Source organism: Homo sapiens, chromosome 20 (genome assembly GCF_000001405.40).
Source record: "Homo sapiens chromosome 20, GRCh38.p14 Primary Assembly".
Lineage (NCBI taxonomy): Eukaryota > Metazoa > Chordata > Mammalia > Primates > Hominidae > Homo > Homo sapiens.
The window spans coordinates 13,043,147-13,069,549 of NC_000020.11; the positions used below are offsets into that span (position 1 = coordinate 13,043,147).

The 26,403-nt window shown below is 39.1% G+C and overlaps 1 protein-coding gene across 5 annotated transcripts in view; it reads left to right on the forward strand.

Moving 5' to 3' along the window:
* The window catches only part of SPTLC3 (serine palmitoyltransferase long chain base subunit 3), a 160,132-nt gene that overhangs the window by 34,175 nt on the left and 99,554 nt on the right, over nt 1–26,403 (forward strand). For all 5 annotated transcript variants that reach the window (NM_018327.4, NM_001349945.2, XM_011529279.2 and 2 more), the window contains one exon: nt 5,799–5,984. In NM_018327.4, coding sequence (NP_060797.2) covers nt 5,799–5,984 — 186 coding nt within the window. The remainder of the gene's footprint in view (nt 1–5,798; nt 5,985–26,403) is intronic.

A 26,403-nucleotide genomic window follows, 5' to 3' on the forward strand; every position in this document is an offset into this window, starting at 1 on the left:
AGAAGGATCTATGCCAATCTTGATCATGATGTGGAAAACCCCAAATACGTTCCATTTCAGAAAGGAACATGGCCCTCTCGTTAGCTCCAGTGCTCTAGATTTCCTTTGCCATTTCATCCTCCCTGAGCCAATCTTATCCCCAACCTTCCTGCCCTTGTAGATCAACTAAGGCCTGAAAGCCTCCTCTTCCTCCTCATTCTCACCCTGACTTTTCTTTTCAAGGACTAACCTAGCAGTGTAATGGAATGTGTCATGTTGCATGGGCTGCCTCACTCTGAAAACAAAAGTCTGTTTGTGAATGGATGGTGAATTGGCAGCATTAAGTTGGTTTTAGATTTGCTCATCCTTTTGTATCATACCCTAAAAAGCTAGAGCACAAGAAGTGACTGCATCACACATTTTTCAAAGTGCTACTGAGATAGTCTGCGTCCCTGTGGCCAGGACAGTCACATGTGCTCTTCATCCTGTCTCCCTCAAGGGGTCGTGTTCCAGGAATTATACTGTCTCTTACCTTTATCTACAATTATGCTTAATCTATTAAATATTTTTCTAAGCTCCTATATACACTCAGTCTTTATTGCAAAATAAGCAACTCCCCTCACTATTAGTAACCGAAGTCACCACCTTCTCTCTGTCCTCTTCCCTACCACTATACTTCTTTAATAAGTCATCTCAGCTCCCTGTCCCATTGCCTTCACATTCTCTCTCTCCTTAAGTCCCTGCAGTCTGATAAAATTGCAGGGATAACAGGTTGATAAGATTACTTACTCAAGTTTTCTTGTGAGAGTCCCCATATACAATGGTCTTGTTGAACTTCTATATCTCAACTTAGTGTCACTCTTCAGTCCCTCACCTCTTCCTCCCTCTCCCACTTGCTGTCTCCTTAGAGGACCCTCATTCTCCCTCTTCTCCCTAGGTATTGATACATTATATTCTTTTGTCTTGTTTCTTTTTTTTCTTTTTTTTTTTTTGAGATGGAGTCTTGCTCTGTCACCCAGACTGGAGTGCAGTGATGCAATCTTGGCTCACTTCAACCTCTGCCTCCTGGGTTCAAGCAATTCCCCCTGCCTCAGCCTCCTGAGTAGCTGGGATTACAGGTGCCTGCCACCACACCTGGCTAATTTTTGTATTTTTTAGTAGAGACAGAGTTTCACCATGTTGGCCAGGCTGGTCTTGAACTCCTGACCTCAGGTGATCCACCCACCTCGGCCTCCCAAAGTGCTGGGATTACAGGCATGAGCCACAGCGCCCAGCTGATACATTATATTCTTGATCAATATATCCTAGGTCAATGTATATCCTTGGTCTCCTGTCTTTCTTCGTGAGACTCTCAGTCCCTTTTGCTAGAGTCTGGACAAATCCAGCAAGGAAGCCATATATATCCTTGGTCAATATATATGACCGAGAGAAAATATTGTCTTTCTCTTTTTTCTCAAATATGTCTCTAAAAGCAGCATTATCCATTCTAATAGTTTTCATCTATCATCTCTATTCAGAATATTTAACAAAAATCGTAACATTTAATGAGTTTTTGTATTGTAGCAGGTAACCTGCATATACTATCTCACTTAATTTTCAAAAGTGACCTTTACTAGCCCCACTTAGCACTGGAGACATTTGAGGCCTCGAAAAATTAAGTGACTTTCACAAGGTCACACAGGCAGCAAAGGAAAGTCTGACCCCTGAGCAAATCATCTTCATTGTTATGCTCGACAACCCAGCAACACCAGACTCCAGTTCAACCTCCTCAAGAATCACTCCTGATCACCCAGTGTGATGTGGTCCCTTCATTTGCATCATCCTTTGACATTCACATTTTGCTCTACATTATGGTCATTTGTGTCCCCACCACACACACACACACACACACACACACACACACACACACACCCTACTGCACTATCAATTCTGGGGAAAACATACTGTATTTATTGATTTCATATCTCCTCTAATGTTAGCCTAGGACAGCCAGTAAAAGAGCTACCTATTGAACAGAAGAGTAATTGTCTGTAAAGGGCTCCCTGCATATTCCAGCACCCAGTTTATTTCCAGATATGACAGAAGCGCAGGAAGTAAACAAACCCCAGGATGTCACATCATCCCAAACGACTAGATACTGTAGGCAATGTGGCTCAGGGTCTGTTTATTTTTAAGGCTGCGAAAGAAAAGGTAGAACAAGCCAAAGTGTATTACAAATAACAATGCTTATCTGCAGTAATAACAAGTGCTTAATAAATGCAAACTTATTAAGCAAGATTTTATGCTTCATTTACTTTGATAGGATGAAATTTTATATTTCAAAATAACTATCCAACAACAGATTGAGGAATTCCTCCTGGGAGGTGTGACTGACTTCAATTATAAGTAAAAGAATATAGTAAGTGAGTCACTAGCTATCTCTTAAGGAGACCAATACATTTCCAGATAGCTTTTTTCTCTGTGAAGATATCTCATTTTTCCTCTGCCAAATAAAATTAATTAAGTGACATTAAATTTAAAATGTATCTATTTATATGAGAGGAAAATAGATCCTGGTTTGGGCTGATGGACATTTTTGAAATTTTCTCCTTTGTGTTATTACTTGCTTCCAGAACAAGTCACAGGGGCAAGTAAATAGTTACATATAGGCCCAGTCTGTGCAACCAACTGAGGGTTTTATTTGCATCTAGGTAGACCATCTGTGATGTACAGTGCAGGGTTGCCTCAGAGCCAATTCAAGCAGAAACTGCCTATGGATTTCAAGAGAAAAGCACCACTTGATTTGGTTACAGGTGAAGCTCAGAAATGAAGATGGGGCCAGGAAAGGAAGAAGAGAAAACCTGCTGATTGCCATGGGTTGGACTTGAATGTCCTCACATTTTCTGTCTTTATGTACACCCACATAACTTAGCCATTCTCTAAGTCAGCCAAAGGGGTTAATTTGCAAGCAGGTTAAATTAAGGTTCTGAGGTCACCCACACTGGGTTCCCTTTATTCACCCTTTTTCTTCTGTGGTACCGGAAAAAGCACTGTATCCACAAATTCTGTCCCAAGCCTACTGCTCTTCCCTCTTTATGATTTGTACCTTATCGCATTCACCTTCAACCATGACTTAAACTGTGGCCCGTAGTAATTGACTCAGTCAGGGTCTTCCTTTTCTCCTACATTCCTCAGTGCTCTGGGAATTTATGCAGGCAATCACCACCCCCAAATTAGCATGTTCTGTACAGACTCATGTCTTCTCTCCAAAAAGCAGCCCTCCTTCCAAGTCCTTCTTTCTTCTTATCAACAATACTATACTGCTCCTTGCAGATAGTTTTCTTTTTCCTCTTCCTTGACTTCATATCTAATCAGTAGAAGTTCCAACATGTCTTCCTTCATGAGACTCTGAGTCCCTTTTGCTAGAGTCTGGACAAATCCAGCAAGGAAGCCAATTTTGTGTCCCTGTGATGCAGAAGGATGTGGGAGGTGGGTCTTAACTGGGCCAGGAAGTCACCTGGAATTGTGGAGATCGATGTAGTCTAAAGTTCAAGTGCAGAACAGAGCCAAGGAAAGGAGCCAAAGGTTTGTACTAAAATAGCATAGCAAGATCAGCCATCCATCAGACCTACATGACTGGGGTAAGGACATAGTTAGAGGGAGGAGTAGGAATGGGGTCTGTCTTGTTCATCTTTGAATCCCCAGTGCTGAACATGTTGCTTGCTCAGGGAAGGCATGCAACAAATGCCCTATATACAAGCCAAGAGTATAACCTTTCATTTACCTTTTACTCAAGACTGCCTATTAACCAATGCTCTTTCATTTTCATTAGCTTATGCCATGAAGTAGTGTTTGGGATGACACACTAGACAGGAATATCCACCTATGTTAGTTTGGGGTACCTATAGAAGTAACCTGAAATAATAAATAAATAAGGAGGCAAGCCATTTTAATAATATTTTGTGATGTTTTGACTTAAGAATTCAAATTTTAGATATCACTATAAAAAGGCTTTTAAAATTTCTTTAAGAATAATAATGTAGAGATTTAAAATATTCATCTACCAGACTGATTTGCTTTTCATCTATTTTTGTGGCTTGGGATAAAACTTCCAGTGACTAAATCACAGAGATTCCAAAAATTCTGCTTCTCATATAATGTAGAGGGAATGAAGATAATATGCTCTGGAAAACTGTGTTGATTACAATGACAAAGACTAGGAGAATCGTCAAAACAGTATTTCAAATGTACACGATTTAATATCATAAATCATTCTAAATACATCTAAATACATATATATGTATAAGCTAAATTAGTACCTTAAATATTAGTAGAGATCTGACAATTTTTGTAAATCACTAAAAGTTATGTATTCCAAGTATTCAAAACATTTTTTGTGTGTCATCTCTTTAAGAAATGGGAAATCTGCAGATTGATTTGTATTTATTGAATGAAATAATAAATGAATGTATAAATATTTATTAAGGACTAAAACAATTAAATATTAGCATTAGAGATACGTATTTACTAATCAATTGAGCAGATGTTGTTTGAGCTACTCTGTGCAAATCAATTAAACAGTCATCAGAATGGTTTGGTGTTAAAAGTCCACTTTCTACTGAAAAGTGAAATAAAACAGAAAATTTTTTAAACTTTTTACTATGAAAAATTTCAGACATACAGAAGAGTAGAAAAAAATAATATCATGAACACCTATATACTCTCCATCCAGATTCAAGAGTTAACGTTTCTCAAAGTTGCTTTATGTTTTTATGCAATTTTGACAAACCACCTTAAAGAGAACTACAGCTATTATAATGCTTTGCCCCTTAATACTTCAGCATGCATCACAAAGATTAAAACATTATGTGATGTAACTAAAAATATCTCTATCTTTCCTACTACAATTAATAATTCTTTAATAAGAATTTAATAAGAATAACAGGCTTTAACTGACAAAGATCAAAAAAGACAAAGAAGGGCATTACATAATTGTAAAGGGATCAGTGCAACAAGAAGAGCTAACTATCCTAAATATATATGCACCCAATACAGGAGCACCCAGATTAAAGCATAAAGCAAGTTCTTTGAGACCTACAAATACATATGGTCCACATTTGGATTTCCACAGTTGCTCAAAATTTGTCTTTCACCTGGTTTTTCACACAAAAATTAAAGAAAGAAAACAATTTGATGAAGGAACACACACTGGATTTACTTGTTTCCCTTAAGTCCTCTCTTCCACACTTCTTTTCTTTTATCAGACTTTTTTAAAAGACCAGGACAGTTGTCCTATAGAAAGTTCTACATTCTGGATTATCTGATTGTTTTCACATAAGGTCGTTTACCATGTTCCTTTAGTCTAGTATTTCTTGTAAAATGGAAGTTAAACATAAGAGCTTGACTAAGTTCAGGTTAAATATTTCATAGGTTTGCTGTGTATTGAATATTACACATAACAGGAGTGTAGAGTGGCTGCTTATTCCAACATTTGTGATATAATTTGATCACCTGGTTAAAGTAACGACCCCAAGTTTGTGATTAGGAAGTAAGCTGTGGGGTCATACTTTAGCAACTTGCAAACACTCTGTTCCTCATTAACTCTTCACCCAATGGTTTGAGTTTCTGTTGAGAACTTTTGCTTGAATCAATTATGTTACTATGGCTTGTAAAATAAAGTTTGCATTTTTGATTACCCTCTTCAATGGTCAGTTTCTAATTTATTTACAATCTTAAATATGGCCTTTGGAATTCAAAGGGTTGAAAGTTCACAATTTTAGGTATCATAGTATATCTGTAACAGGAGAATGCTAACCTTGGATTTTCTTTTGTGTTTTCAGCAAAATGGGAAGCCACATTTTTATGATAAGCTCATTGTTGAATCGTTTGAGGAAGCACCCCTTCATGTTATGGTTTTCACTTACATGGGATATGGAATTGGAACCCTGTTTGGCTATCTCAGAGACTTTTTAAGAAACTGGGGAATAGAAAAATGCAACGCAGCTGTGGAAAGAAAAGAACAAAAAGTACGTATGCGCACCTCCCTGGATCTTTGTCAATGCCTACTCCTCTCTAAAGTGTTCTCAGAAGTGGTGATGCAGGTGCAGATCCTAGAAAGCATGAGGTGCTCAGGAACTATTCAGGGCAAATTTCATTCATCTCCACCTCCTAAACCCCATTACCCATGGGCTTATGGACCTGTTTTTACAAACATCTCATGGGCAACTACTATTTGCCACATACCAAACTAAGGCTTTTCCCATACCTTGTAATATTTAATTTTTGTAACAACCCCATGATATAGATATTAAACTATAATTTTGAAGATAAAAACATCAAAATATAAAAGCAAGTGCTCCTGGGTGGGACTGTACTTTGGTCTTCTAGTTGTAAGTTGGGTATTATTTATGCTCTATCCTGAAAAGGAAAGTGCATTTGAGTGAACTGGGACTTTTTTATTTCATCTAAATCTGATTTCTCACCTTTGACACTATTAATATTTTGAACCAATTTTTTTGGGCATTGTAAGAATTTTAACAGCATCTGAAAAATATAGCATTAAACCACTAAAGCTAAGGACCCTGATGAAGTCACTGCACCCTCCACTACCTCTACTGGAACAGGCACTGGTATCCACTGCTGAGAGACCCATAGACAGTTCACATCACAGGACTCTGTGGAGACAATCCCCAGTACCAACTTGGAGCCGGGTAGACTCGGTGGGTGGTGAGACCCAGAAGAGAGACAACAATCACTGCAGTTCAGCTCACAGGAAGCCACATCCATAGGAAAAGGGGGAGAGTAATACATCAAGGGAACACCCCGAGGGACAAAAGAATCTGAACAACAGTCTTCAGCCCTAGACTTTCCCAAATGAGAAGGAACCAGAAAACCAACCTTGGTAATATGACAAAACAAGGCTCTTCAACACCCCCCAAAATATAATACTAGTTCACCAGCAATGGATCCAAACCAAGAAGAAATCCCTGATTTACCTGAAAAAGAATTCAGGAGGTTATTAAGCTAATCAGGGAGAGGCCAGAGAAAGGCAAAGCCCAATGCAAGAAAATCCAAAAAATGTTACAAGAAGTGAAGAGAGAAATATTCAAGGAAATAGATGGCTTAAAGTAAAAACAATCAAAAATTCAAGAAACTTTGGACACACTTTTAGAAATGCAAAATGCTCTGGAAAGTCTCAGCAATAGAATTGAACTAGTAGAAGAAAAAAATTCAGAGCTTAAAGACAAGGTCTTCGAATTAACCCAATTCAACAAAGACAAAGAAAAAATAATAAGAAAATATGAACAAAGCCTCCAAGAAGTCTGGGATTATGTTAAACAACCAAACCTAAGAATAATCAATGTTCCTGAGGAAGAAGAGAATTCTAAAAGCCTGGAAAACATATTTGGGGGAATAATTGAGGAAAACTTCCCTGGCCTTGCTAGAGACCTAGACATCCAAATACAAGAAGCACAAAGATCACCCAGGAAATTCATCACCAAAAGATCTTCACCTAGGTACACTGTCATCAGGTTATCCAAAGGAAACCATTTTAAGAGCTGTGAGACAGAAGCACCAGGTAACTTACAAAGGAAAAATCTATCAGATTAACAGCAGATTTCTCAGCAGAAACCCTACAAGCTAAGACAGAATTGGGGCCCTATCTTCAGCCCCCTCAAACAAAACAATTATCAGCCAAGAATTTTGTATACAGCGAAACTAAGCATCATATTTGAAGGAAAGATACAGTCATCTTCAGACAAACAAATGCCGAGATAATTCACACCAAGCCACCACTACAAGAACTGATAAAAGGAGCTCTAAATATTGAAACAAATCCTGGAAAACAGAGCTTCTTTAAAGCATAAATCACGTGGGACCTATTAAAAAACACACACACACAAGTTAAAAAGCAAAAACAAAAAAGAAAAAACCCAAAGTACACAGACAACAATGAGCATGACGAATGTAATGATACCTCACATTTCAATACTAACATTGAATGTAAATGGCCTAAATGATCCACTTAAAAGATACAGAACCACAGAATGGGTAAGAACTCACCAACCAACTATCTGCTGCCTTCAGGAGACTCACTTAACACATAAGGACTCACATAAACTTAAAGTAAACGGGTGGAAAGAGGCATTTCATGCAAATAGACACCAAAAGATAGCAGGGGTAGCTATTCTAATATCAGACAACTGTAAAGCAACAGTGGTTAAAAGGAACAAAGAGGGACATTATGTAATGGTAAAAGGCCTTGTCCAACAGGAAAATATCACAATCCTAAACATATATGCACCTAACACTGGAGATCCTAAATTTATAAAACGATTACTAACAGACCTAAGAAATGAGACAGACAGCAACACGATAATAGTGAGGGACTTCAGTACTCCACTGACAGCACTAGACAGGTCATCAAGAGAGAAAGTCAACAAAGAAACAATGGATTTAAACTATACCTTGGAACAAATGGACTTAACAGATATATACAGAACATTTCATCCAACAACCGCAGAATACACATTCTATTCAACAGCACATGGAACTTTCTCCAAGATAGACCATATGACAGGCCATAAAATGAGACTCAATAAATTTAGGAAAATTGAAATAATATCAAGCACTCTCTCAGGCCACAGTGGAATAAAACTGGAAATCAACTCCAAAAGGAACCTTCAAAACCATGCAAATACATGGAAATTAAATAACCTGCTCCTGAATGAGCACTGGGTCAAAAATGAAATCAACATGGAAATTAAAAAGTTCTTTGAAGTGACTGACAATAATGACATAACTTATCAAAACCTAAGGCAGTGCTAAGAGAAAGTTCATAGCCCTAAACTCCTACATCAGAATGTCTGAAAGAGCACAAATAGACACTGTAAGGCCACACCTCAAGGAACTAGAGAAACTTGAACAAACCAAACGCAAACCCAGCAGAAGAAAGGAAATAACCAGTGTGGCTGGCAAGATGGCCGAACAGGAACAGCTGTGCTCTGCAGCTCCCAGCAAGATCAATGTAGAAGGCATTTGATTTCTGCATTTCCAACTGAGGTACGGGGCTCATCTCACTGGGACTGGTTAGACGGTTGGTGCAGACCACAGAGGGCAAGCCGAAGCAGGGTGCGGCACTGCCTCACCTGGGAAGCGCAAGGGGTTGGGGAACTCCCTCCCCTAGCCAAGGGAAGCCCTGAGGGACTGTGCCACGAGGAACAGTGCATTCTGGTCCAGATACTACACTTTTCCCACAGTCTTCACAACCCGCAGACCAGGAGATTCCCTCAGGCGCCTACACCACCAGGACCCTGGGTTTCAAGCACAAAATTGGGCAGCTGTTTAGGCAGACACCAAGCTGGCTGCAGGAGTTTTTTTGTTGTTGTTTGGTTTTTTTCACACCCCAGTGGCACCTGGAACACCAGTGAGACAGAACCATTCACTCCCCTGGAAAGGGGGTTGAAGCCAGGGAACCAAGTGGTCTAATTCAGTGGATCCCACCCCCACGGAGCCCAGCAAGCTAAGATCCACTGGCTTGAAATTCTTGCTGCCAGCACAGCAGTCTGAAGTCAACCTGGGACACTCAAGCTCAGTAGCAGGAGGGGCATCCACCATTACTGAGGCTTGAGTAGGCTGTTTTCCCCTCACAGTGTAAACAAAGCAGTGGGGAAGTTCAAATTAGGTGGAGTACACCACAGCTCCTCAAAGCCGCTGTAGCCAGACTGCCACTCTAGATTCCTCCTCTCTGGGCCTGGCATCTCGGGAAAGAAAGGCAGCAGCCCCAGTCAGGGGTTTATAGATGGAACTCCCATCTCCCTGGGACAGAGCACCTGGGGGAAGGGGCAGCTGCAGGTGCAGCTTCAGCAGACTTAAACGTTCTTGCCTGCTGGCTCTGAAGAGAGCAGCATATCTCCCAGCACAGCACTCGAGCTCTGCTAAAGGACAGACTGGCTCCTCAAGTGGATCCCTGACCCCCAGGCCTCCTGACTGGGAGACACCTCCCAGCAGGGGTTGACAGACACCTCATACAGGAGAGCTCCGGCTGGCATCTGGTGGGTGGCCCTCTGGGATGAAGCTTCCAGAGGAAGGAACAGGCAGAATATTTCCTGTTCTGCAGCCTCCGCTGGTGATACCCAGGCAAACAGGGTCTGGAGTGGGCCTCCAGCAAACTCCAGCAGACCTGCAGCAGAGGGGCCTGACTGTTAGAAGGAAAACTAACAAAACAGAAAGGAATAGCGTCAACATCAACAAAAAGGACGTCCACACAAAAACCCCATTCGAAGGTCACCAACATAGAAGACCAAAGGTCGATAAATCCATGAGGATGAGGAAAAACCAGCACAAAAAAAGGCTGAAAACCAGAATGCCTCTTCTCCTCCAAAGGATCACAACTCCTCGCCAGCAAGGGAACAAAACTGGACGGAGAATGAGTTTGACGAATTGACAGAAGTAGGTTTCAGAAGGTGGGAAATAACAAACTCCTCCAAGCTAAAGAAGCATGTTCTAACCCAATGCAAGGAAGCTAAGAACCTTGAAAAAGGTTAGACGAATTGCTAACTAGAATAACCAGTTTAGAGAAGAACATAAATGACCTGATGGAGCTGAAAAACACAGCACAAAAACTTCGTGAAGCATACACAAGTATCAATAGCCAAATTGATCAAGCGGAAGAAAGGATATCAGAGATTGAAGATCAACTTAATGAAATAAAGCGTGAAAACAAGATTAGGGAAAGAAGAATAAAAAGGAACGAACAAAGCCTCCAAGAAATATGGGACTATGTGAAAAGACCAAACCTACATTTGATTGATGTACCTGAAAGTGACAGGGAGAATGGAACCAAGTTGGAAAACACTCTTCAGGATATTATCCAGGAGAAAAATGTTTAACCTGATTTGGTGTTTAATGAAAACTTCTGGGTAAAAGAGAAAGTTAAATTGGGATCTAGACGCTGATGAATAAATAGTAAGGCAAAGGGTGAATCAAGAGAGAAAAGGAATCTCTAAGAAGAGAGAATATGGTGCAAGATGGTCCAGAGGTTAGAGAAAGCATTGTACATTCAAGGAACCACGGAATTCCAATGACCGAGTGTTGTGAATGAGAGTGGGAGTATGTGGGCAGAAAGACTGCTGAGAGGCAAGCAGGGGCCAGACTATAATGGGTTCTTTTAGTAAGCCATGGACATGTATTATAAGAACAATGGGAAAGTATTGAAGGACTTCAGGCAAAGGAATGCATATTTGTAGACAGAAAGATAATTCTGTCTACCCTGTGAGAAATGGATTGCAGAAAGACAACAGAGAGATCAAAAAAGACATTAAGAGGTTGATGCAGATATACAGGTTTAAAAAAATCTAGGTGAGATGGTTGGCCTGGGACCAAGGTAGTGACAATAGGGTTGGTGACAAGAGAAAAGGCCAGGAGATGTTTAAGAGGTAGAGTTAGAGATGGTTGATTTGACCTAGGAAAATAGGAAGAAGGACAAATCAAAGACCACATCCAGGTTTATGAGAGGTAGCAGAAGGTGGTGTCATTCACTGAGATGGGTAATAGAGAAGCAAGATCCAGTTGGAGGGAGAAAGTAGTCAACTCATTTTTTGACAAGTTGAGTTTGAAGAACTGGCAGCTAAACTTAAAGATCTGGACTTCTGGAAAAAGTCTCAGTGGGATACTGTAACATCTTCAGTTTATCTTCAGCATGTCGACAGGAATCAAAGCCAGGGAAGTAGACAAGATCTTCCAGGGTAAGTTCATGGAGAAAAAAGAGAAAGGATGAAAAGAAAGTGAAGAACTTCAGAAAATTTAATAGATTTCAGAGACAGAGTCCCAATTCAAGACGAAAAGCAAAGTGACAAGAAAAAAAGTTAACAGTAGTTTAGAAACGAGGTTATTTGTGCTTGAACTAGGAAAGAGGCAGGTGGAAGGAAAAGGAAATTAATTATAGAGAATATTTAGGAGGTATCAATAAGTCTTGGTGGCTGAGTGTACAGAAGATAAGATAGAAGGAGGAAAATAGGGGAATCTCAAGTTCTAGTTTGGGCAGATACATGGATAGCAACATCACATCCATTACAATGAAATGGTTCTGTTGGCAAAATGGTGGCCACAGACAGCTTTGAGGACATAAAGGTTCTTGAGTTATAAAGGATAAAGAAACAGTTAAATCAAGCAGGAGACAACTCAGCATGCTTCCAGAGACGCAGGTTTCTCTGGTCCTAGTAGAGCTGACAATGTAACTGGGAAAATGGGATTTGAAGGGGAATTCTCCTTGGGCATTCTCACAGTGATCTCCATGGCCCCTAACCCCACCAGCTGCACTGTTCTAGAGGCTCTTATCACCAGTCGGCCTGCTCCCCAGGTACAAGTAACTAATGCATAATAAATCAGCACATTTCAGAGCACAGGGACAAAGGCTGAACCAAATGTAAATTTCTCAGGTGTGGCATTTCTTGGAAGGCTTAGGCTTCAAATCTACAATCTATTTTCTAACCTTTCAGTGTATTTGCTCTATTAAACTAGCAGGTCTAATCTTCTTGTTTATCTAAAGCAATTTCTTACATTTTATCAGGAAAAAAAATACACATGAAGAGTTGTTTCCTAGAAAGCCTACTCTGGGATGGGGGCCTGAATGCAGGAAGGTTATTGGGGTGTGCTCCTGGGATCAGCACCTGTGAGGCAGAGAAGGAAATGGCATGGCTCAGGAGGGAGGGGAGTTGGAGAGGAAAGAGGGGATGGAGTGAGTTGTGATGATGCAGACCCAGCAAAGGCCTCAACGAATCCCACAAGGAGTTCCGGAGATGAGAGGGCCTTTCAAGAGTCATCTGAGCTGAGGGAAGGGGGCTAGATCTTTTTACTCCTGCATTGATAGAAGCTGCCACCAGGGATCTTGGTGGAGGAAGATCCCTTCAGACCCAGGCAATCCTCATGGAGCTGTAAGCCTCCAATGCTCCTAGCAACTAGGGGAATGGATGCATCAGTTCTGAACGATGGGCTATGGACATCAAATGGCAGCCTGCACTTCAACACTTGCCCCTGTTGCTACAAGAACTGCTCGAACCGCCCCACAGGAGAAATGCATTGCATTAAATAAATTAATGATTTACCTTTCTTTACAAAATAAATGGTTTCCATCCTATCTGATCTCTGTGAGGTCCAGAGCAATAGTCAATAGACTCATGTAGATAAATGTGCCTTTCACATGGCATACCTTTTATTATTTGTTCAATTTGAGTCCCGTTAGAGACTTACAGCATTTCAGAGTGACAGGTTCTAATTAACTGCAGTCACTATCTTTCTGATGGGACTTGATCTCCCAACCCTGTCCATAGACTGACGCTTTAACTTTTTTTCTTTTTTTTTTTTTTGAGACGGAGTCTCACTCTGTCACCCAGGCAGACTAATGCAATCTCGGCTCACTGCAAACCTCCACCACCTGGGCTCAAGTGATCCTCCCACCTCAGCTTCCCGAGTGGCTGGGACCACAGGCATGTGCCACCACGCCTGGCTAATTTTTTATATTTTTGGTAAAGACAGGGTTTTGCCATGTTGCCTAGGCTGGTCTCAAACTGCTGACCTCAAGTGATCCATCCACTTTGGCCTCCCAAAGTGCCACCGCACCCAGCCCATCCTTAATCTTTTTTTTTTTTTTTTTTAAGAGAGAGTCTCACTCTGTCAAACAGGATGGAGTGCAGTGGTGCAATCTTGGCTCACTGCAACCTCCACCTCCCAGGTTCAAGTGATTCTCCTGCCTCAGCCTCTCAAGTAGATGGGACTACAGGCGTGCAACACCATGCCTGGCTAATTTTTGTATTTTTAGTACAGACAGCGTTTCACTATGTTGGCCAGGCTGGTCTTGAACTCCTGACCTCATTATCTGCCTGCCTCAGCCTCCCAAAGTGCTGGGATTACAGGCATGAGCCACCGCACCTGGCTCCCTTTAATCTTTTAATACCATCCCCAGTCCTTTACATCTGATAGTATTCTTGCTTTCTGTAAATAAGCTGTCTGATGCACATTTTGAATTCTCTTGCTCAAAACATGAAACATCCTATTTCCAGTGACACTTCATTCTTTTCAGCAGAAATGAGCATTATTCTATTCTAAAAGCTGGTTCCTAGGAGTGCAGAATACACTGCCCCACATGACAAGCCAGCCATGGGCAAAATGACACCAGAAAAGAGAATGCATTCATGAAGTGATGGTGGAAAATAAAAATTATGATTTTTTAAAAGATCATAAGTGAATGTTCTTATATCCACCTTTACTCATTTACTCTTCTTTCCTTTTCTTAATCAAATATAAGAATTTATTAATCCAATTTCACTATTTTCTCTTTCTCTGTGATGACTTGTCTCATACAGCCTTCCATTCAAATTAACGTGTTGTCCAAACTTATCTCTATTTATTTCTCCTTCTTTTTATTTCTAACTCAAATATTCTGAAATTGGTTCCCAAACATAAAGGCTCTGATCATCCTCTTTATCTGAATCACTTGAGTATTAACTGAAAAGAATAGAAAAATCAAAACCTCCTTCCAAGACAGCACTAAAAAGCTCAAGTTAGACTCCACTAACAATCAGTAGATCTTAACAAAAAGGACAAGATGCAAAGTTAATATTTTGCTTAAATGCGACTCTTTAGTTTTGGGCCAAGAATATCTCTTTGTTTTAATAAAAGACAACTTTAGAGTTGAACCACAAGTTCTCAAAAGTCCCTAGATAATTTATTTTTGCAATGATGTAACAGTCCAACTTTGCAAAATCCAGAAGAGAATGTCAGCAAATATAATCAATTAATGTCGAGCATCATCAGAGATTAGAAAATACTTCAAGTGCAGCCAATTCTACAGGTCCGCATTTCTCAAGTCGCTATGGTCCCAATATCAAACAAGTTCTGCAAAATCCGATATAACATGGCACCAATGGTAATTCTGTGTTCACATTAAATCCAGGTATTTCCTAGTACCCACACAAGTAAATCACAGACATTTCTGGCCCATCTTCAGAGATTTTTACTCCCACCGAAAACAAAGTGGGTTCAGCAAGCTGCAGCTGTAGAAAATTTTAGGACAAATATCTAAATGTTTGCATAAATTATAAATTGTTATTTTGCATCCACATTTTGCATCCTGATACATTAACAGTATTAGCCCAGAGAAACTTTCTTCTGAAGGATGAGGTCCATTAAGGTGACTGGGTATGAGATATGGTCTTGTCCAAAACAGACAGCCCAGGCACTGGTCTTCCTGTTTGGACCTGCATAGATCCGAACCCAAAGTTTCATTGGGGTATCTCTAGGAACGTAATATACTAATAAGTATGCAGCTTATGGGATAGAAATATTAGACCAGTGCTTTGCAGACTTGGCTACCCATTGGAATCACTGAGAACCTTTAAAAGATACAAATACCTAGGCTTTTCTCACAGATATCCTGATTTAATTGCTTTGTGATGCAGCCTTGGTAGTGGGGGGTGAGGCAGAGGGGAGGGCTGGTCAAACAAGCTTCCCAAGTGATTCTCATCCGCATACAAAATTGCAAATCAGTGTTTTAGAGCAATGCTTCTCAAACTTCATCATGCACACAGATTATCTGGGGATCATGTTAAAATGCAGATTCTGCTTCAATGGTTTTGGGTGGGGCCAAGATTCTGTAGCTATAAACAAGCTCCCAGGTGAAGCCAATGCTGCTAGTCTAAGACCACATGTTGATCCTTCCGTAACCGAGCCCAGATTCATTCTGCTCATCACACGACACCCAATAAGTTGACAGACATGGAGTTGGAGCAAGGAAGGTGACCTTATTTCGAAGACCCAGCAGACCAAGAAGATGGTAAACTAATGTCCCAAAGAACCAACCGTCAACACAAATTTCAGTCTCTATGTTAAGGGCAGAGGGAAGACAATGGGGCTCTGTTCAAGAGGTGACCAAAGACCATGGACATCTGGGCACCAGCAAGGTTCTGTGGAGGTTTGGAACATTTTGGCCTTGACCAGGTCACAATGCTCCTATAAATCTTTAACAAAACATAGTTGTTTACATATCTCCCCTTTAATCTCAGAGTTAAATTCAAAAAACTACATGACTGCTGTTTTTATGTTTTATTTCAGTGCCCTAAAATTATCCTAGCCTGTGTGCAGGAATGGGTAAAGGCTGCTTAAACAAAAATGGAATTTGCTGTGTTAGTTCTTTCGCTGTTTCACTGTTACGTCGCTAGTATCGCCTGAGAGCTTGCTAGAACTCTCAGACCCAGCCCAGCATCTTTAGTTTATCATGATCCTCAGGTGATACAGATACACATTAAAGTTTGAGAAGCACTGCTATTCTAAAGGTTCTCAATTTGCAATTCGGCTACCACCTGCATTCAGGTGCAGGCAGCGCCATCCCTTGAAACCTCCAGGTGTCTATCCCCTTTCACATGCACAGCTATCCTACTATCCCTTACAGGAAAGATGGTCTTAGCCCATCTGTGCTTTATTGTGGTAGACTTTGGCAATTAACGGTTACAGATCAACAGCTGATAATACCAGATCAATGCTTTACAACCTTGGCTGCACATTGTAGCTGTTCTGCCCCACACATTCATCATTACTAGCTTTCTGTCTCCGGTACTGCCTCCAATATCTCTTTTACCACCCCCACAAACTCCACCCTTGGAGCCCTCAAGCCCTTGATTTTAAGATCTTTTCATTCTCCTGTTATATTTCAGGTTCTCTTTTCCTTTCTTCTAACCATCTTAAATTCCATGGGCTTTGAAACGACCTCATCTTGATACCCACCCCCATGCTGACTGGTCGCCCTTCAAATTCAGCACCACTAGCCTCAAGATAGCCCTTGGTGCTGCCTGCCTATCACTCTGTTACTTAGGGCCTCTAGTCACTGACTGTTCTAAGTGGCAACTTCGTACTTTCCCCTTTCCCCTCAAACCTGCAACATTTCTTGTACCTCCTGACTTTCAGCTAATAATCTTGCTTCTATCAACTACAGAAAAAAAATAAGCTTTTAAAGAATTAAAATTACTTTTATTTAGCAGTCTTCCTGAGGACTGTAGACTGAAGCCTAGAGCCTCAGAGTAGCCCTTTAGACAGATCCTATCAGACTGCTCCAATGCAGCATTTCAGTTCACAGTTTATATACAGGTAGCAAAGATTCAGTATACGCAAAATCGCATCTAAGTTTGGGTGCAAGAGTACATCTGATTATAGTTTACAGAAGCATAACCACTAACCCCATCAGACATTAACTTATGTGTAGGAGAAGGCAAGAGCTAAAGTTATTTATTTATTTATTTATTTATTTATTTATTTATTTATCTGGGGGATTGTCCTACTTTATTTATTTTTTAATTTTTTTTATTTGTATGAATTTAAGGGGTAAGAATGCAGTTTTGTTACATAGATATATTGTGTAGTGGTGAAGTATAGGCTTTTTGTATAACCATCACCTGAATAATGTGCATTGTACCCATTAAGTAATTTCTCATTCCCCTACCTCCTCCCACCCTCCCACCCTTCCAACTTTCCAGTGTCTCTTATTTTACTCTCTACATCCATGTGTGTGCATTATTCAGCTCCCACTTAGAAGTGAGAACATGTAGTATTTGACTTTCTGTGTGTGAGTTGTTTCACTTAAGATAACAGCCTACCATTGCATCCCTGTTGCTGCAAAAGACATAATTTTATTCTTTTTTGTGGCTGAATGGTATTCCATTGTGTGTGTGTGTGTGTGTGTATGCACACACCACATTTGCTTTATCCAATTGTTGATGGACTGTTAGGTTGATTTCACATCTTTGCTGTTTTCAACGGTGCTACAATAAATACATATCTTTCTGATATAATAATTCCTTTTCCTTTGAGTAAATACCCAGTAGTGGGATTGCTGGATCAAATGGTAATTCTATTTTTAGTTCTTTGAGAAATCTCCATACTGTTTTCCATAGAAGTTGTACTAATTTAATTCCCACCAACAGTGTATAAACATCCTTTTTTCTCCACAATCTTGCCAACATCTGTTATTGTTTTGGCTTTTTAATAATAGACATTCTGAAGTAATTTATCTTTTGAGGAATACCGTGACTCAGGGAAGAGACATGGGGGTGCATATGCTCTACCTTGTTTTGTCTTCGAAGCATCTTTCTAGAAAGCTGCATATCATCACAGAGTCAGGGGCCTTGTGAAATTATGCAGGCAAGCAGAAATGAGGAAAAAACAGCTTCTAACATTTGTTACTTTGTCTCACACTTCCTATTTCATTGAGAAAATAGAAAAAGGTCAGCCCATCCACCTGCCCCCTCCACCACCTACCTGCTATTGTGCTCATATACTTGGCCTTCCACCTGCCACCACGGGACAGGTGTCTGGGTTCCTATCGAGGCCACCTGTGCGCTAGCTCACAGTCATCAGCAGTCATTCAGCCTTGACACATCCAAAACTGTGGGTTGAGTTTCCCCTCCAAACCTGTTCTTTTCACAATCTCCAGGTAAGTAAATGGCAACTCCACCAGTCCAGGTGCTCTGGACAAAACCTGTGAGTCAGCTTTGACTCAGCTCTTTCCTTTGTACCCAAAGTCAAATCTGTAGGCCAATACTGTCAGTTGTATGTTCCAAATACACTGTATTTGTTATCAGACTACTTCTTACCACCCCTGCTGCTACAAGCTTTGTCCAAACCACCATCTCCTCTCACCTCAGATGTACCCTGCTTCCACCCTTGAACCCAACAGTCTCTTCTCCACTAACAAGCAATGTGATGTTTAAAATCCTAAGTCAGGTCACAGCACATGTCTGGCCAGAACCCTTTAACATCTTCCCATCTCCTTCCAAGCAGAGCTGCCAGAGACTCTGCAGAACGCAGCCTCTCTTATGTCTCTAACTTCATCCCTTCTCCTCCTCTTCACTCCCAAGCACTGCTTCAGACACTAGGACCTCCTTGCTCTTCCTCAGACACTACCCACACGTGCCTGCCTCAGGTAATTTCCACTTACATAGCCCTCTGCCTGGAATGGCCCTCCCTAGGGTATCTGCATATCTCACTCTTTGACTCAGCTATCACCAAGAAACCAATAGCTTTAAATGCAGCCAGAATCACTGGCCAACACAATCCCCCATCTCCCCCACCAGGCTTGGATCTAAATATCTTCTGGCTAAAAAGCAAGAAGGGGCGAAAGTTGTCCACAGTTGTATCTGGCAGAGCATGTGCCATAGGCTAAGAAGGCAACCCCAAAATACCAAAGGCCGAGAAATATTTTGCTAAATAAGATAACTGGTAAAATCAGATCATAGTCTCCCACAGTGAATACTCAACAGAGACCAACATCTCTTTGTAGATATATATGTACAAGATATATATTTTTATTTGTATAATACAGAAACATATATATTTACACACACACATATCACTTGCACAAAGCCAGTATGTGAATGAGCGGGTTAAGACAAGCCCGAATGAAAAGCCACTTCTTAAACTAATGTTTTCTTCTTTTTCCTTTTTATTATGGAATTAGTGCACCAAAGCAAGCATTATTTTATCTTTGTGCATGCATTTTTTCTGTCTCTTCTGTGCACTTAACTACACTTAACGTTCGTGTGTACTTACTCTGTCCTTTATGGGATCACATCATACATCTTGTGTGACTTGTTTTTTTCCCCTAACTCTGGCTTTGAAGATATTTATATGCCAATACAGAACTACTTCATTCCTTTTAATAGCTGCACGATATTCCATAATATTCCATGATACTCCATATATGGGAATGCCATAATATACTTATTCCCATTTTTATTTTCATAAATAACTTGTCCATGATCAGTATATGCATTTATTCTAGGATAATTCCTGGAAGTGGCTTTCTGAGTCCAAGGCATGCACATTTTAACTTCTGAGACATACTGCCAATTTGCCTTTCAAAAATGCTTGCCTAGACCGACTCCAGTGAACAGTATCTAACAATGCATGCTTCCTTGCCAGCACTTGGTAGATTGATTATTATCAACATTTAAAAATTGTTTGGCTAATCTGATGGGTGAACATTATTTATTTTTGTCTTAATTTGCATTTTCCTGATTAATAGTATGACTGCACTTCTTTAAATATACTTTTTAGTTCTTCACACTTAACTCTTCTCAGACTGGCAGTTCCTATCCTTTGCTCATAATTTTATTAAACTTTTTGAAAATTGATTTAGAGGAACTCTATGTGCTCTTATATCAATAATTTTTCCATTAAATGTGTTTTAAATATTTCTCCAATTCTGTTTCTTGGCTCTTAACTTTATTTGCATTATATTTAGCCGCACATAAATGTGGAAACATTTATGTTTTCATTGTTGTTATTAGTTTTGATGTTAGTTTTCTTTTTTTCTCTTTGGGAAGGGGTGTTAGTCGTGTTTATAAAATGTTCCTACAGTTTCATTCAGAACTTTTGTGATTTGGGCTTTTATTTTAAACATTTGGTCCATAAATCTATTCATCCATCTAGTTTATTTCTATGTGCTGTCTGAGGTAAAGGACTATTTTTTAAATTTTTTTTAAATTTTATTTATTTATTTATTTATTTATTTATTTTTTGAGACAGGGTCTCACTCTGTCTCCCAGGCTGGAGTGCAGTGGCGTGGTGTCAGCTCACTGCAAACCTTCTCCCCATGGGTTCAAGTGATTCTAGTGCCTCAGCCACCAGAGTAGCTGGGATTACAGGCGCCCGCCACCACACCCACTTAATTTGTGTATGTTTAGTGGAGATGGAGTTTTCTCCATGTTGACCAGGCTGGTTTTGAACTCCTGGCCTCAAGTGATACGCCCGCCTCGGCCTCCCAAAATGCTGGGATTACAGGCATGAGCCACTGCACCTGATCAATTTTTTTAAAGATATTTCTAATAATTTCCCCAGTATCATTAATTAAATAGTTCTTTTCTTTTCTTTTCTTTTTCTTTTTCTTCTTTTTTTTTGATGGAGTCTTGCTCTTTCGCCCAGGCTGGAGTGCAGTGGTGTGATTTTGGCTCACTGCAACCTCTGCCTTCTGGGTTCAAGTGATTCTCCTGCCTCAGCCTTCCGAGTAGCTGGGATTACAGGCATGAGCCACCGCACCTGGCCAATTTTTTTTAACGATATTTCTAATAATTTCCCCAGTATCATTAATTAAATAGTTCTTTTTTTTCTTTTTCCTTTTCTTTTTTTTTTTTGTTTTGTTTTTGTTTTTGTTTTTGTTTTTGTTTTTGTTTTTGTTTTAGACAGTGTCTTGCTCTGTCGCCCAGGCTGGAGTACAGTTGCACGATCTTGTCTCCTAGGTTGGAACGATTCTCCTGCCTCAACCCCCCGAGTAGCTGAAATTACAGGCATGCGCGCCACCGCGCCCGGCTAATTTTTGTATTTTAGTATAGACGAGGTTTCACCGTCTTGGCCAGGCTAGTCTCAAACTCCTGACCTCAAGCGATCCGCCTGCCTCAGCCTCTCCAAGTGCTGGGATTACAGGCCAGGTGTGAGCCACAGAGCACGGCTAAATGGTTCATTTTTAACTCAGTTATATGAAATGTTGACCTATTTTCCTATTATTTGGGTAACTCTACAAGTTTTTAGATAATTCTTTAAGATTTTCTTTCTGTGTATACTTTAGAATTAGCTTGCGAGGTATAGAATTTGGAAAAAACTGGCCATTTTCATTAAATCTATAGGTTATCTTTGGAAAATATGATGTCTTCATAGCAGTCTTCCTGTTCAGAAATCTGTCTCTCCATTTCTTTACGTATTTCTTATGTTCTTTAGTAACAATTTATAATTTTCTTTATAAAAGTCTTACCATTTTCTCTTATGGGACACAATTTTTAATCATGACATAATTTGAATATTATCTTTTTCCCATACCATTTTCTAGTTAGCTATTGATAACATATAGCAAAGCAATTGTTATTTTTATATTCTAACCTCAAATGCTACCACCTTAATAAATTCACTCCTTCACAGTGTCTCAGATAGTTGCATTGGAATTTCTTGGAATTTTTCATGGGTGACATGAAAAATTGTACATATATTATCTTTGGGGTTTGATATTACAATAAACTTATTAATTGTCATATTTAACTCCTCTAAACTTACTTTTTTCTCTACTGAACTTTTTAAAATAAATGTATATTAATGCCTTTCACTGTGATTGTAAATTTGTTAGAGTTTTTTTTTTTTTTTTCTAAAGTGTTTCTGTGTAACTATCAGATACATAAAAGTCCTTGGCTCTAATAGTTCTTGGTGAATTTTTCCTTTTATTATGCTTTTTACCTTATATTCTAGTTTACCTTCTATTATTATTTATGTACCTTTTTTCCTTCAATAGCCATCTCTTTCTTTTATCTTCAGCATTTCCGGAAAATGTATGTCTCTTATAAGCAACAAATAGATTGAAATACAAAAAAAGTTGTATTTTAATAATGTATTCTATTAACACTTATTTAAACCATATGAAATTGCTGTTTTGATAGGTTAAAAATGGTCAAACATTGGCAATTCCATATGGTTAAACGTATTATAATACTGTAATTACATATTTATACTGATTCCTGCCATATTTTTTACATTCATATCTTCTTTTATTTTTATTTTTTATTTTAAATACTTCTCCTTTTATACTTAGTACAGTTGTTTTTCTTTTAACATATATGCATTTTTTTACTTCTCCTTTTTTAAAAACTTCAAGCTTTTTAAAAATTCTAAATATTTATAGTGTACAATATGATGCTTTGATATATATATACATTGTGAAATAATTATAACTGTCAAGCTAATAACATATCCATCATTTCACATAGTTACCATTTTCTTCCTTTTTTTGGTGAGAACATTTAGGATCTACTTTCTTATTAATTTCAAGTATACAATATATTATTAACTATAGTCACCATGCTGTACATTAGGTCTCCACAACTTATGCGTACAACATAATTGAAACGTTGTACCCTTTGACCAGTATCCCCCTATTTTCACCATGCCCCCAGGCCTGGCAACCACCATTCTACTCTCTGCTCCTATGATTTCAATGTTTTTAGATTTCACACGTAAGTGAGATCATATGCAGTAGTGTTTCTTTCTAATAGTGTTACAGTTTCAGGTCTTACATTTAAGTATTTAATCCATTTTGACTGCATTTTTATATATAGTATGAGAAAAGAATCCAATTTCATTATTCTGCATATGTATATCCAATTTTTCCAACACCATGTATTGAAAAGGGTCTCCTTTCCCCATTGTGTGTTTTTGGCTCCTTTGTCGAAGATCCATTACTGTGAATGCATGAATTTATTCCTGGGCTCTCTATTCTGTTCCATTGGCCTATGTGTCTGTTTCTATGCCAGTACCATGCTGTTTTGATTACTGTACCTTTGTAGTATATTTCAAAATCAGGTAGTGCATTCTCAATTATTACAGAAAAAGCCTGTGGGTGTTAACCTTATGACTCCTTGCATATACTGAAAAATGTGTGTATTTGTTTTTATTTGGTTGCTGACTTGGAAGAGTACAGAATTTTAAGTTTTAAGCAATCTGATAATTTTCTTCTGTGAAGTGTGAAACTTTATTTGCTTTAATAAGTACCTGATGAACTCTTTATATCTTAAAATTCAAATCTTTCCTCATCTCTAGAAATTTCTCCCTTCTCTTCCTTCTTACACTTTGCCTTCTTTCCCTCCTCCTTCTCTTCCTTTCCTCCTTAGTCTCCTTATTTCAATCTTGCCATGTCTATTAGAGAGATGTTTGTTCTTCTGAATCTGCCCTATATATATCTCTTGACTTTCCCTTTATATTTTCTTTATCCTTTTCACTGTCTTATGAAAAAAAATCATCAATATAATATTCTAGCTTATTAATTTGCCTTTTTGTCATGGTCATTATTTTTTGAACTGTTTATCCTTTAAATGGGTGCATTGTTCTGTTATGTTTATATAAAAATGTCACTTCTACATATATATATATATATATATATATATATATATATATATATATATATATATATATATATGTATTCATGTTCACCTATCTTGAGTGACTGTAGAAGTGGAACAGGATGAGTTTTCCAGGGCCAGTAGATTGTCTTCTTGTTATGTGGACTCTGCATTTCTCTACATTGGGGCATTGCTTTTCCCTCTTCTTCCTGTTGCCCACCACAAAGCTTTGTCCTGTGGCCAATATTATCACTTCTTATTTATTAGCCCAATAGAAAGAGGATGAAGGGATCTACCCTCACCTTGAATGTCAGCTTGTTATAGCTCTTCACTCTCAACTTGAAGCTGGCTTTATTAGCTTACATCCATGCCAGTCTTCTCTGCAAATATTTGGACCCATGGTTTCCTGTGGTTTAATTTCCCCAGTGATCAGATCTTACTTATGTCTGTCTTTGTGATTCTTCTGCATTTCTGATTCATTGATGACACTCTTGATGGTCTTTCGAGGCATTTACAACTTTATTTTGTTTCTTAAATATCTATTTTTTATTGTTTTTCCATGGAACTTTTAGAAGAGTGGTAGGATTCATATAAGTACTGAGTCTGCCATCTTTATTCAATATCTCTATCTAATTCTTTAAGAATAAAATTTAAATTTAGCCATCTTTAAGTTAGGTTCTTATACTTCAAAGAACTACTGTAAATACAGTTACCCTTATCAACCAAAAGGAAAATATAAGCATATTTTGTTATTATCCCAAGTTCTGCCTTAGAAACAGCTGGCTCTCAAAAGGACAATTATATAAAATACAGTATTCGGTGAGAACTGAAGTGTCAATGTAGACGCAAATGAATAACATTGTGTTTGATAAAGATTCTTTCTCACTCTACAAGAGATATGCTTCCAAATTTGGTAATAGTTTTAACAATGAGCTATGGATATGCTCTTTTCACTTTCATACAAGCATCAAGCCTTGTAGCAGGGTTTTTTGGAAAGAGCATGGTTTGGGAACTGGAAATATTAATAATTCCCATTTTGTCCAATCAAGTTTTCTGACTTTCCATCAACTTATCTATAAAAGTTTGATAGAAATATCTATAACACTTGGAAAATTATAAATTATCGTACAAATATAAAGATTGAAAAATAAAGATTATGACATTGCAGAAGAAACAATGCTATTTTTGTGGGTCTTTTTAGGTTTAACTCACTTCTTTCTACACTCCATTCTCCAAAATGATTGTGTCCTTATGGCCTGGTATTTTCTATCATATCTAGCCATTTGTATAGAAAGCAAAATAAAGATGGTAAGCCAAATGACAAATTAAGTCTATAGATAAATAAAGATATATCCTATTGCAATGCTTTTGTTTTTGAAATATCAAGTCCAGCTTCATTTTCTGGTTTAGTTAAAATGCTGTGGGAAGCTTCTCTGGGACTAGAGGACATTGACCTTTGGAAGGCGTTGGCTGCTCCTGAAGAAAGCTCCTGGCTGTTTAAAGGAATGGGGTGGAGTGGAAATACACACAGACAGGAAACCTCACAGGTGGGGAGAAGAGGGCCACGCCCAAAAGCAAGTCAGTTCATTCACCGATCAGATCTTTAATTCTAAGTAGGTCTCCAAACTCAATTGGCCCTCTCAGAAACATGTAGGTTACTGACCTTGTGTATCAGATCTGGGTTAATGTTTATGTCATGCACAAAGAAATAACTCTGAGTACTTTAAAAAAAAAAAAACAACAACAACAACACTAGCCCTTCCTTTTTGCAGGGGAGTTGCAAGTACTTAATTTATACAATTTCCATTAAGCATGAAGATTATTCCCTAGAAGGAAGTCTTTTCTGACCCTGCAGAATATATTAGAATCCCTGTATCTTGCCCTCAAAGCATTTATCTCAGTGAAGAGCCAGCTGTCCATTTCTACATAGGTACAAATTCTGAATCCCTGAGTCAGGAGGCAGAGAGGTTAGACAGGATGAAGTATTTTCCGACCTTCTCTTAGGTGGCCATGACAATGCATCTTCATGTGGCATGGGCTGGGAAGCCATGGGCTGTTTTTTCAAGCCAACGCCAAGTTCCCTATGACTAAAGGACACTCCTACTATATATAGTCTGGCAACCTGCTGGCCCTAGTTTTCCATATCACGGGCCAGGGTTTTTGTCATCACTGGTGTTTTGGAGGGAAGCTAGGTATGACCGAAATCACTCTGAAGTCACTGTCTAGGGGAGTGGGTGAGGTCCGAGGCTGACCAGAGTTCAAGTCACGCACCTTTCTGGGCCTGATTCTCCTCATGGGCCGAGTGGGTGTTTGAGCTCTAAAACAGCAGTCCCCGATCTTTTTGGCACCAGGGACTGCTTTTGAGGAAGACAATTTTTCCACCAAAAGCCAGGTGGGGTGAAGGGGTATAGTTTCAGGATGAAACTGTTCCACCTCAGATCATTAGGCATTAGATTCTCATAAGGATCACAAAACCTAGACCCCTCGCATGCGCAGTTCACAATAGGATTTGCACTCCTATGAG